This window comes from Homo sapiens, chromosome 6 (assembly GCF_000001405.40).
Source record: "Homo sapiens chromosome 6, GRCh38.p14 Primary Assembly".
Lineage (NCBI taxonomy): Eukaryota > Metazoa > Chordata > Mammalia > Primates > Hominidae > Homo > Homo sapiens.
The window spans coordinates 105991955-106004968 of NC_000006.12; the positions used below are offsets into that span (position 1 = coordinate 105991955).

General features: G+C 40.1%; 1 protein-coding gene across 1 annotated transcript in view, besides 3 other annotated features; it reads left to right on the forward strand.

The window, feature by feature from the left end:
- Nucleotides 552-761: a silencer, noted in NCBI's record as "silent region_17429". NCBI's record gives its function as "represses an Ori minimal core promoter by ATAC-STARR-seq in GM12878 lymphoblastoid cells {active_cell/tissue: GM12878}" and the evidence as "EXISTENCE:reporter gene assay evidence [ECO:0000049][PMID:35858748]".
- The window catches only part of PRDM1 (PR/SET domain 1), a 117249-nt gene continuing 104970 nt past the window's right edge, over nt 736-13014 (forward strand). The window contains exons 1-2 of the mRNA XM_047419246.1: nt 736-896; nt 1556-1685. The gene's annotated coding sequence lies outside the window, so the exon portion shown is untranslated. The remainder of the gene's footprint in view (nt 897-1555; nt 1686-13014) is intronic.
- Nucleotides 1292-1826: an enhancer, noted in NCBI's record as "NANOG-H3K27ac-H3K4me1 hESC enhancer chr6:106441121-106441655 (GRCh37/hg19 assembly coordinates)". NCBI's record gives its function as "activates a minimal SCP1, AML or CMV promoter by ChIP-STARR-seq in primed H9 embryonic stem cells {active_cell/tissue: H9 hESC(primed)}" and the evidence as "EXISTENCE:reporter gene assay evidence [ECO:0000049][PMID:30033119]".
- Nucleotides 2896-3428: an enhancer, noted in NCBI's record as "H3K27ac hESC enhancer chr6:106442725-106443257 (GRCh37/hg19 assembly coordinates)". NCBI's record gives its function as "activates a minimal SCP1, AML or CMV promoter by ChIP-STARR-seq in naive H9 embryonic stem cells {active_cell/tissue: H9 hESC(naive)}" and the evidence as "EXISTENCE:reporter gene assay evidence [ECO:0000049][PMID:30033119]".

Below are 13014 nucleotides of genomic sequence, written 5' to 3' on the forward strand. Positions count from 1 at the left end.
CCGCTGGCTGGGCTCATCCAGAGCTGGCGCGCAGCCCTCTCCCTGCACTCGTACTGAACTGAGTCCAGTCCAGTCCCCCACAGGTTAGAGGTGAGACGGAAGCCATCGTGAGTTTGTTTTTTCAGCGAGTGCCGTTTCCTAGGTTGGATGACAAGCCAGCTTTGGTGGCCCTTCGCTCTCGCTACCCTAATAAACTACCTGGAGCAAGTCCTTCTTCAGAAACAAATCACCACGTCAGCGCTCGGAGGGTGAAGCCCCTACTACTTTCTACTTTTGGTTGTGATGCTGGAGGCCCTTACAATTTCGCAGAACGTTTTGTGGACGCGCGAGCTCAGTGTTGCCCTTGCAATGGGGAAAACACCTGCTTTCCGGGTCCTCGTCCTCCCGGGAGCGCGGACCCTGAACAGCCCCCGTCCGACCTCCCCGGCTCATCACCCCCTTCCAGAAACGCATGGAGCTCTTTTTCTTTGGACTGCCTCTTTTTTGTACTGGCCATCTCAAAATCAAACAAAACAAAAAACAAAAGAAAACAAAACAATATCACTCAGGTGTGAAGCCCCAGTGCAGAAAGTGAAAGTGGGACTAATCCCGGCTGCTGCAGCACCGCCGAGTGAGCGCCAGGGAGGGGCGGGGCTCCAGGGCACGGCGCCCGGTCACGTGACGCGCGTCCGCCCAATCCCAGCGGGCCCTCGCCGCGCGCAGAGCTGGGCCTGGGTAGCTCTTCTCTCTCAATGAAAGCTATATTTTGGGCTGTTACCACCTAAACGCCATGTGGAAACAATGCACCTCCCTCCACTTCAGGTCCCCCTTGCCTGTAAACCTCGAGAGCTGGACGTCCCTTAGCCTGGGAGTTCCTGGACACTGTGCACAATCACTCGTCAACCGCTACCTACTAGGTAGGCGGGAAAGAGCTTTGCTTTCTAGGCGTGTGTCTCCAGATGGGCCCAGGAAAGATAGGGCCTCAGTTCTCTCTGGTTTGTTTGCTGGGGAGGGAGTTAGAGCTGTAAGCCTCCTTCCTCCAAAAGGATGGTTGGAGGGAGTCCGAAACCTTTGGGTCCCAAGACATGACCTAAGGAGTCCCGCTGTCGCCACTCTTCCCGGTTTGGTAGAGGGGGCCCGTGAGTGGCATTTAGCTCTCGCAAAACTGGGCAGATAGACGCACATGTCGACCCTCCTTTTACAATATTTCAAAATAATTCTGCATTGTTTCTCTACTGGAATCGTTAATTATGCATAACTCAGTATCTTAATTTAAAGGAACTGAAGTCCTAACTTTGGGTTAGGTTCTCTTACAAAGACTTCAGGGATGTTTAGCTGGCATCTCGGGTTTGATCCCCAAAATCCACCACGAAACAAAAGCTAGCTTTCCTAAACTCAGTAACAATAGGAGAACTGGTTTAAGCCACCTCTGGGTAGGCAACCCCCACCCCTAAAGCCCTCCTTACTCCAACCTGCCCCTAGGTATGTTTGTGTAATCAGAGACTGATTGTAGCTGCTTTGACGTTTCTCCTCGGGAAAGCTTAGTTTGCATTCATTGAAGTTGCTTGCTTTCTAGGTTCATCTAGGCCAGCAGGGAAGGTGCCACTTGGAAGATTGCTGGGTTTCCTGCTTCGAAGTCTTCAGGAGCGGGCTGAGCTGCGCTGGTGTGCCGCTTAGGACTGCAATGAGGAGGGTGACGTTAGAAGGTCTTTAAAACGTTACGTTTACTATTTTAGGAAACAGATTTTCAAAGAATCAAGGGTAGGGGACAAAATACATTTGGGCTAGGATTTTAGTGAAGAGGGATCACGCCCAGAATGAGGGATAGTAAAAGAGTGGTGGTATGGGGCTCTGATATCGCTTAATCTGTAATCTCCGGCAGTGTTGATAGCTCTCCTCTGGCATTAATTCTTCAGTCTTTTAAAACGGAGTAGAAAGGGACGTTGGATTGATCATTACGGTTTGTTTGGAGAATAGAATTTCGTGTCACCAACTTGGAAGGGTAAATGAATTGCAGAGTCGGATACAGCTAATTTGGGGGAATGTAAGCTGGATGTCTTTTCCTAATTTATGAAACGTGAACGGGGGTAAGGTATTTATTTGTACGCTAGTTGAAGTGGGGCAGGAGCACTGATTCCTGGACAGTCACTCAAAAGCTGCGCCCAAAGTTTTAAAAAGCGCGGGGACGGTGGAGAGGGAGGCGAAGAGCCCGCGCTGCTGGGCTGGGCTCGGGTGCCGCGCTGGGGACGCCGCATCTACTGAGCGGTCGCCGAAGACGCCGGGAGGCGAGGGGCGAGGTAAGACGCCGCCTAAAGAGGCCCGGGCTCTCCCCCGGGGTCGTTGTTGGAAAAGCAAATTCCACGGTGAACTCTACCAAGCTCAGCGCGTACACAGCTAGCGGCTCTGGATTGGACTGCATTCGCCTAAATTGCGTAATTAAAAAAAAAAAATACACCACTGCCACCCTACAGCGACGCTTCCGCTGGAAGACGAGCGGGGACGCGTGACAGCGCGGGGATAGCTTTTCTATTACGTTTCTTGTTCTCCGAGCTCGAGCCCCCTTTTAAAAAGTCGCTCACCAAAAACGGGGTGGGGGATGGAGGTGGGGACGAGAAGTTTCCGAATGCTGAGTTCATTTGGACGAGGTGAGGAGAACTAGGGTCCTAACAGCAGGTCCAGAGGACTCTCGAGATAGGTTTAGAGCCCGTCCTTTTGTCTGGAGTGTCGCGGGACTCCAGAAGTGGGTTGTGCAAGACAAACTTCCAGATAAATCTTTGCCCGGATCCTCCTGCGGTCAAAGCATCAGTCCTGCCCGTAACTTCCTAACGACATCTTCTTGGAGCAGATTCCGCGGCGGGGATGGCTGGGTGTGCAAACCGAAAACAGTTTGTCAGCCCTCCAGTCCCGCCGCGTCGGGAATGCGAGCCCGGCCACGCGGTCCGACCGGGTCCGGGGACGGCGCGCTTGTCGCGGGAGCCTCCCGGCTTGCGGAGGGCTTGAGTTTTTTGGCGGAGACAGAGGAAAGCCTCTGGTCGAGAGGATTAGAGCGCGCGTTTTCTCCGCCGAGCACGCTGCCCGACGCCGTCGCAGCCGCGCACTTCCCGGTTTTGAAAGCCAGAGAGATGAGTCAAGCGCAAAAGCTCCGGAGTGACAATGCGAGCTTTTGGCCAGCCTCATCCTCCTCCCCATTCCCTTGCCTTCTTTTAGGTCTTCGGTTCGTGACAAGTGCATAGGTTAGGCTTGCACGGAAGAGGGTCGGGGCAGGTGCCAGCTCAGGGCACCTACCCGGCGTTGTCACGTTCCCTTTGGGATCAATGATCTTTCATAACTAGGCTGGGCATGTTCGTGCAGCCCTCTGGGCACTCTGGGGGACGTTCTCATAAGGCTTTTTTTCTTTTCTTTTCTACCTTTTAACAGAACCTTCTAGGAAAAGTGTTTTTTAAAGTTTTAAATATACTGATGTCTACAGAAACGGATAACAAAATTTCAAAGCGGAAGGGAGGAAACAAAAGGAAAAGGTGTTTTACTTGGCAGTCATTGCTGAAGCTACCATAGTGTAGGATAGAGGAAGAGCGTTTCAGAAGAGAATTGGTTAAGTAAAACCTTCAGCTGTAACGTAATAGAAAAGACACAGTAAATGGGAAAAATAATAAAATGTACACTAGATACATTACACAGACGATTGAGAACTTATGCTCCCACTGAAAGCCTCTTTCTCCCAGGGAGAATATTTATGGAGGAAAATTATTTAGTTATTTTCACAGTATTACATTGTCCTTTGAATGAAAGTTTTTTTTTTTTAATCAGTCAGCTAGACTTGGTTCTTTAATTAGGAGGCACAATGAAGTTTCTAACAGATGTTGTCAGCCACAAACTCTGATCCAAAATAATAAGTGTAACTAATTTTCGGGGACAATCTTTAGTTTGTAAGGCCTGAAATTAAAATACGATGCTTTTAAACACTGTGGTTCAAAAATGTAGGAAAACATTTGTTCCAGATCTTATAGTGGCACCATTTCCTTGCTCTGTGTTGGAAAAGCCTTAAGTAGGATATGACCCTTCTCTCTCACTCCAAAACCTCTTTTTTCAAACTTGATTTCTTTCTGATCTTAGAAATTCTACTTTAAAAATATTTCCTGATTTTTAAAAGTCAGCCAGATGAGGTGAAATCCTTAAAATATAACATATTCCTGATCAGATCACATAACTTTTCTCATAAACTAAGTCTTATAAAGAATATGCTTAAGCAACTCTTCATCTAAATATAGCTTTCAAATATGTATAATTTAATCTGAATCGGTGTTGTCAAACTTCCAGTACCCTGAAATATAAGCACAAAGATCAAATTATCTATAATTGTCAGATAAATGTGGTAGCCACTGGTTCTGCTTGGTGTAGTAAAAATTAATTAACAATTAATCATTTTTAAATTGAATATACAATGTTAAGACAAAATATTGAGTGGGATGCTCTAATATATCCAGTTCTTAATTCTTGGCATGGCATCATGACTTCTAAACTCTATATGGTGTGTTGAAGATTTGAAGATTTGTCATTGTAAGTTACCTGTTTCCTACACATTGGAAAGAGGGGGAAGTTAATACGTTTTCTATAGCATTCAACTCCTCTGCTGCCAAAACATCTTATAGTTTGGACTGCATTTTAATATATGCCATATTTTGAAATCTATTTGGTTTTGAACAAGCTGCAGCCTCTGTGCAAATAACCTGTCATCCTTTAGTGGATCTTTATGGCTATTTTAAATAAAAGTTTTTTTAAAGTGCCAAGAGAGAACATTACAAAGTGAGGTCTGTCTTCTTGGGATTCTATATCTATTTGAGGGTGAAGGGTAGATAGGGCTGATGTTACATCTTTTGACAGAGGGCTAGTAGAATCCTATGTTTCTGACACAAATTAAATGTGATTTCCGCCAAATTGACTGTCTCCTGGCGTGGAGGCACATCACCACGATTTTGGTTTGCCACATTGAAATAAATAAGAAAACAAAGGCTGGACTTGCAAAAGCTACTACTTATTTTTCAGCTTCTTTAATGACTAGGATTCTTTCACTTATCTGCCCTGGACTACACACTGACAGGCTGCTGGAATTCTGAGCAGTAAAAAAATTCTAGATGGCCAATATAATTTAAATGACAAATGTGTATTGAGCACATACTGTAAGGACAGGGGTAAAAAGTGGAAGACCAGTAACTCAGCCGTCCAAATGAATGGGCCTTACCAATAAGCCTAAGACACTGGGATGGGGCTGCAACTTCTTTTCATAGCAGTTTCATAAGGCTTTCTTTTCTTTTCTACCTTTTAATAGAATCTCTGTTGAATGATTTTTTTTTATATTGTGCTAAGTAGTTTTTCCTAGCTGTCTCAATTGTTCTAGAGCTTCTTCGTGTGTCATGGAAGGCCTGAAAGTCTGGGCCAGGATTATAATTGTTAAAAAAATCATTTTTCTCAGTTCGTTCTCTCTTTTTAAATACTAGGATATTTGCTTCGTTAATAGTAGAATTTTAGTCCTTTCTTTAAAAAAATTGTTTGTTTGTTCTTCATTAACATTAATGACATTTCTCAACTGCATTTGCTTCAGTCTCATTTGGGAATCTGCCTAGTCTTGTCTCCTTAACGGGTTAGCGGTGATGACACCTTAGTACCAGAGGTTCCCTGAGTTTTGCTGTCAACTCACTTATATGCCTTTTTTAAGGGAAGTAGGTTGGAGGGGTTACCCTCATAAAGCTCGTATTCTCCATATTTGTAAAAGGGATTTTGAAACATTTCTTTACCCATTGGAAATTATAAAATCATCGGAGGCATTACAAAGTAGCAGAAAATGCTGGAAAACAAAAGAAGAGATCTATGGACTTTGTAATGGGCATTTGGATGAGAGCTTCTAGATTATGGTCTGAAAAAAGGAACTATACTTTCTATTTCAGTAGTATTTTATTGTTCAATAGTGAAGTTTTAAATATGATGGTTTCTTGCCCTTCAAAAATGTACCTTAATACTGTATGCTCAAGCAGAATTAAAAAGTAAACTGGTTGAGTTTAGAAATATTCTATTAGAAAACTGTGTATGTTTAGTTGGTTTCTATTTTATGTTAAACAAAGTGCAGGGAGTTTGAATAAATGAATTTTAAGTATTTTTATTACAAATTTAATTTACTTCTGGTTGTGGTTTTTTTAAGTTTGCTCTTATAGATAAACATTGCTGCCTTTCACAGCATTTCACATTTGAAATATCTGTATATTGTGTTCTGGGTCCATCGAGCTGAAAGCTTGTGGCAAAATATTAACGTTTTTTCAATTTCTTAATTGAAAGGATACTTTAAGCTGTGAGAAGTGGCACGTGTCTGTAGTCCCAGCTACTTGGGAGGCTGAAGCAGGAGGATTGTTTGAGCCTAGGAGTTCAAAGCCAGCCTGGACAACATAGCGAGACCCCATCTCCTAAAAAAAAGGGAATACTTTAAATATAAGACATACTTGAAAAAACTTTTTAGAACATTTTACATTTGACATTTCTGTCTCTAACATAAATTAATATATAAGGTGCAACGTTTTGCTTGATAGGAAGTTTATACTGTAAATAAACCCATAAGTCAAATGAATATACTTGGTTTCTTTCTATACACATGACAGTTAATTTTACTTTATTTAGATTTTTGCTTCTCCTAGGATTACCAGTTTCAAAAAGTTTTTTCTTCAGTCAGACTTCGGGAAGCTAGTCCACCTAATTTAAAATAAAATGACATGAATTCCCAGTATTTCATTTGTTCATTTCACATCTTTTCTTTGTCTGCCCAAGGACTGTTAGTCAACTTTCATCAAAAGAAAACTATTTTTACCATTTATAGTTCTGCCTCTGCCAGGCTGGTAATATCCATCTTCCCTTACTGGGTTACTATAATCAACCTGGCTATTGTTTTGCATTGGGATTTTTAAAAGTTAATACATATATATATATATATATATATATATATATATATATATATATATTTTTTTTTTTTTTTTTCTTTTGAGACAAGATCTCACTCTGTCACTCAGGTTGGAGTTCAATGGCATAATCTCGGTTTATTGCAGCCTCAACCTCCTAGGCTCAAGCAATCCTCCCACCTCAGCCTCCCAAGTAGCTGGGACCACAGGCATGTGCCACCATACCCAGCTAATTTTGTTTAATTTTTATAGAGATGGGAGCTCACTATGTTGCCCAGGTTGGTCTCAAACTCCTGGGCTCAAGTGATCCTTTTGTCTTGGCTTCCCAAAGTGCTGGTAATACAGGCATGAGCCACCACGCCCAGCCCAAATATGTTTTTTCATAAAATTTAGAAAACAGGGGGTTGGGCAGCAGTGGCTCACACTTGTAATTCCAGCACTTTGGGAGGCAAGGTGGGAGGATCACTTGAGGCCAGGAGTTTGAGACCAGCCTGGGCAATATAGCAAGACCCCCATGTCTACAAAAAAAAAAAATTAGAAAACACATTGTGACCAATTAGAACAAAATTTGTATACAAAAGTGACATGTTTTTTGCTTTTTTTGTTGTTGTTGTTCAGCCAGGGGCACTCCTCCTGTGGACTTTGATTATGTGTGTTGCCACTGCTGTGTTACTTGCCTTACACTAAGTCCTCTCAGACTCAAGTGTCATCGTGATGGGCTCAGGTGTACCTAAGCTACCTTCCAATTCCATGCCCTCCTTGCACTGGCTCAGGACCATGACTGCAGTAGAAATAAACTTAGACCTAGTGTTTACCAACAAGCTCATGTAACCTTTGGCGTGCAGGGCCTCAATTTCTTTATGGGTTAAATATAAGTTATTGAGATTAAATGATATTTGCAAAAATATCCAACTTAAATCCAAGAATTTCAGAGTATTTTAAGTTATTTTTAAAGGGCAAAGTATGTGACCTTCCTTTATCTATGTGTTTCTTTTTTTTTGAGACGGAGTCTTGCTCTGTCGCCCAGGCTGGAGTGCAGTGGCGCCATCTCGGCTCACTGCAAGCTCCGCCTCCTGGGTTCACGCCATTCTCCTCAGCCTCCCAAGTAGCTGGGACTACAGGCGCCTGCCACCACGCCTGGCTAATTTTTTATATTTTTAATAGAGATGAGGTTTCACCGTGTTAGCCAGGATGGTCTCGATCTCCTGAGCTCGTGATCTGCCCGCCTTGGCCTCCCAAAGTGCTGGGATTACAGGCGTGAGCCACCGCGCCTGGCATTATCTATGTATTTCAACTATACCAAAAAACTATAGAGAATATTATAAACCAACACCTATCTCCAATATACTTATTTCTGTGTACCTATCTCCAAGACATTTCAAAGCTATCTTTAACTCATCTTTAAAAAATATATACAAGCCAGGGGCAGTGGTGCACACCTGTAGTCCCAGCTACTCTCAAGGCTGAGGCAGAGGCTGAGGTAGGAGGATCGCTTGAAGCCAGAGGTTCAAGGCTGCTGTGAGCTATGATAGTGCCTTTGGATAGCCACTTCACTCCAGCCTGGGCAACACAGTGAGACTCCATCTTTAAAAAATAAAATAAAAAATTAAAATACGTACATTTTTAAATGTTAAAGCCTCCTATATACTCTTTCCATCTCTTTTCCCTCCCTCCCTCCCTCACCAAGGTTATTTCCATGTATGTTTTCCATGTATGTAATTTCCATGTATGTACAGACTTTTATATTTGTATGTATAGTAATGTTTGTCTTATTAAAGAAAGCTGACATAAATAGTATCATCATACACGTGTTCTTTTTAACTAAGCATTATGTTTTTCTGAGATATATTCATACTGATATATGTTGCTTTGTTTCATTCCATTATCAGTACTGTAGAAGTTAATGGACATGCCATTATTAATTTATCTATTTTATAATGTTCACTATTTCAAATGAGGCTGTTGTGAACTTCTCATACATATCTCCCTGTACACAGGTATAATTGTCTTTCTAGGATACCACATAGAAATGGAATTGTGGGGTCACAGGATATGAATATTATCAACTTTGATAAATATCACTAAATTGATTTTCAGAGTGGTTGCATTAATTTACACCGATACTATTATAGCTTCATGTGAGTGTTCCTTTTGCAAGTATATTGTCACCAACACTTTGATAAGGTCTGACATTCAAATACTTTTCCACTTCAGCTGGATCTAAGATGGTGACTCATTTTTAAATTATGTTTTCCTGACCTAGTGAAATTGAGCATCTTTTCACTGTTGGACACCTGGTTTTCCTCTGCTGTGAATTGCTTGTTCTTATCCTTTGCTCATTTTTTATTTGGGGAGATTTGTTTTCATTAATAATTTATTATTCTGTGTCTAGTGTGGATTCTAATTCCTTACTGGTATGTTTGCTGTAAAAATATTTTCCTAAATCTTTGGTTTAGCCTTGCGTTGTTTATGGTGTCTTAAAAATGCAGAATGTTTTTAATACAATGAAATGTATTCATCTTGTAGAGTTTATCGTTTTGTCTTTTAAGAAATTCTCATCTAAAAGTTATAGATATAGTTACCCATATATTCTTCTAAAAGCTTCATAAAATTTTGTTGAGTCTTTAACTTACCTAAAATGTATTGTTGTTGTTATGAGATAGAAAGCTGTTTTACTCTACCAAGTGGATAACTAAGTATCCAGGCACCTTTTGTTAAGTAGCCCATCCTTTCCTTGCACTTTTAAAATGCCATCTCTATCATGTATCAGTTTTATGTATACTTGTGTATGTCTCTTTTCTTGTCATTGGTCTATTTGTATTTGTTCCACTATCCCTGTTCCATTACACTGGAGAACATTGCTGTATGTCTTGATATCTGATAGAGTGAGTTCCCAATTGTGTTTTTCAAAATTGTCTTGGTTATTCTTGGTGTTTTGCTCTCCTGTATGGATTGTAGGGTCAGTAGATATACTTTTTAAAAAGTGGGAAAACATTATAAAAAGTATTTTTGAGCTAATATCCACAATAACTTTTTGTAGATCTGAAACTGGAAATATTTAATGGTTTCTCTATTTAATTGTTGGATCTTCACTGAAATGCAGTATGTGGTTGATACCAAACTAATTTGAAACCTGCTGTTGAATTTGGCTGTCCTGAATTTCAGTGCATGAACAAAGTTGGAGAAGTTTAGATTAAAAAAAAAAATTGGAGCTTGACTAAGCTGAAGTGTTGGGTTGCAAAAAAAAAATGAGATTTTTTGTTTTCTTAAGTAGCATTTGAATTGAGATGTAGAGGTAAGGCCAGGTAATCGCTTTCTTTTCTCCTTTTGTCATTAAGCAGAGGTAGAACAATGGGTGTTACTTGAGAGCTGCCCTTCTAACCCTTGCTGCTCTTAAAATGCCTTCAGGTCATCACAAGGTTCTTAGTGGTGTTTTAATTTTTTAATTTAATGTTTAACTTCTGAGAGAATTGCTTATAAACATTTACTTTGTTGATGTTGCTGGGACATGGTTAGATAATGGTGGCTATGGGTGATGATAAGGGATTTCATAGTATGTTTATTTTGGGGAGCGATTAAAAGGATTGTCATAGTTTTATTTAATTGGAAATTTATTTTGGATTCTTTCGTCCTTAAGGCATCTAATATTAGAAATGAATTTTAATGTTAAAATGTACAAAGATATCTAACTCTTAAGGTTTTTAAAATGTATTCTGCTTTATACAAACTTAGAAAATATTTTTTATTATCCTCATCAAATGTGACTTGACATCATAGTTGTTTTATAAATATTTTGAGATTTATTTTCTTACTTATTGTCTTTGCCCACTAGAAGAAAAAATGATATTTGAGGCATTCTATTCATTCCGTGTTATAACTTATCAAGGATTGGCCCTAGATACTCTGTGTTTACCTATAGAGAGTGTGGTTGCTCGTTCAAGGTCCTGATTTTTCTCAATTTTTCATCCTTTTCTGTTCTGAGCTTCACTTGACCAGCTTCCTCAACTGTGTGTGGCCAAGAGAGGAGGAATAGAGTTGGCCATTCTCTTTTGGAGCATTCAGCAGGATTACATGTTATGGAATTTAGGAATTTTTACTTTATTATAATGCAATGTTATTAGTTTGTGATTATTTTTGTTCTTTTTCTTTTTTGTAAGTTGATTTATTCCAAGTTAAGAAAGACCAAGATATACCTAGTCAGAGAATACCTTTACAGACATACATAGGAACAGAGATTTGGAATTTAAGATAATTGCTCATTGATTCATTCACTCATCATACATAAGCATGCATATTATGAATAAAGTGTCAGTATAATGTATTGTCCAAAGCAGGACACTTTTGAGACTGAAAGGGGGCATTAGGGACAATTATACCAGGACTATAAACACAAATCAGGATCTTCCCTGGCAGGTCATCAGATACTGACTACTGTGTGTCATGCTTCATACATTCAGGACATTTTAAATAATTTAGTTAACCCTCAGGGTGGGAAAGGAAGGGAAAGAGTTGATTAGAAAGGAGAGGCTTCACTCACAGACTGCAGGTTTATTGGGTGCTAAGTGTGCCCTGCTGTAGTCTGTTAGTTTCATTTCATTGGCATACTGTACCTTGCTTCCTTACTATCTATCCTTAGACATTTTAAAAAATTATCTTTAGCTTCTGCATTACTTTTATTTGGGGCTGGTAACATACTTCTGGCCCTTGTCTTTGTTACTATTTTTCTTACTTTATAGTTGGATTAGTTGGATTTTCAGACCATTCTCTAGGCAAAATTGGTTAGCTGTTTCTTTTGACCACTTAGGAAGAAGGCCTCCTAGTAATGCATGTGCTTTTTATTCCTGTCTGATTGCTCCAATCAAACGTTTTGTAGGTGGTTTATCTGGAATATAAAGAATCTGAAAGGAGCACAGACTTTCACCCCAGGTCCAGATCTTACTTATTTTTGGACATGAGTGTACTCGGTTCTCAAGGCAGAACAGCTTTGTGTGCCTGTATTCCAGTATTGTTGCTTTAATTGCAGTTTGCTTCCTTCTCCAAAGGGAGAGTGAGTGGTGAATCAGTGGAGGAGTGACAGATGGAGGAAGGGGTCACCTTTCCTTGTGTAGGTATATGGACTGTTTGGCAAAGAGTCATTTTGTTTTTGTGGGTAATGCTCTCCCCCACTTTTCTGAAATCTATATCTGAGAGTACAAAATATGGGAGTGTGTGTTTGCTGATAATCAGATCAAAGGTTCCCAGGGGGCTAACCTACCTGAAAAGGGAAAGGGGCTATTGTGGCTCTCTGCAGCCTGACCTCTCCACTCTCTTATTGTAACAAAGTTTTTGATAGGCATCTAGATAGAAAGCTGCTGGGGGGAACTTCCCAGGTGCTTCTGAGATGGAATGTGTGCATCTATCCATGGATACGATAAATGTGAGCTATTGAGGGTAGAAAAAAAACAGTAACATATATGCTAACATGAATATTGAAACAGATTGTTAATCTTTCATCAGAGCTTCTTGGTTTAGAAACCTTTTATTTGGCAATAATGAATGTAACTATTGACTAATATTGTTTAAGAGACTGCTATTTGTGGCACCAAAGATAAGCATAACCTGAGTGACTTCTTGACCCTTTGCAAATATTTACAGGCTGAAATAATATAGTTTGACAAAAGAGCCAAGTGATTTTGGAGTGGCTTATTTTCTGGTTTTCCTACAGTTCAGAAGATAATTTATCTGATAAAAATGGTAAGTTTTGCTTGTGGAGGTGTAATGGATTTTGAAACACAAAATATGGATTAATTTTTTTTGAGGCGGGATAGTAATGGTGATAACGGTATGTATGACACATGCTGTTATGAATATATTAAAAAGCATTTTAACATGTTAGAGTCATCAAAAGTTATGCCCACTTCCATTTTATACATTTTGGCATTTCTTGATTAAAAATATATTGTCAACATAAAACTACCATTTCTTGGAATAGATGCTTGTTAAAAATGTATCCTTATCAGTTTATCAAAAACAATTGTTAAAAATGATATATTTGTGGAAAGGGGAAAAACTTTCCAAAATAAATATTTTTATGGAAACAATGAACTCTTTGCTAGAT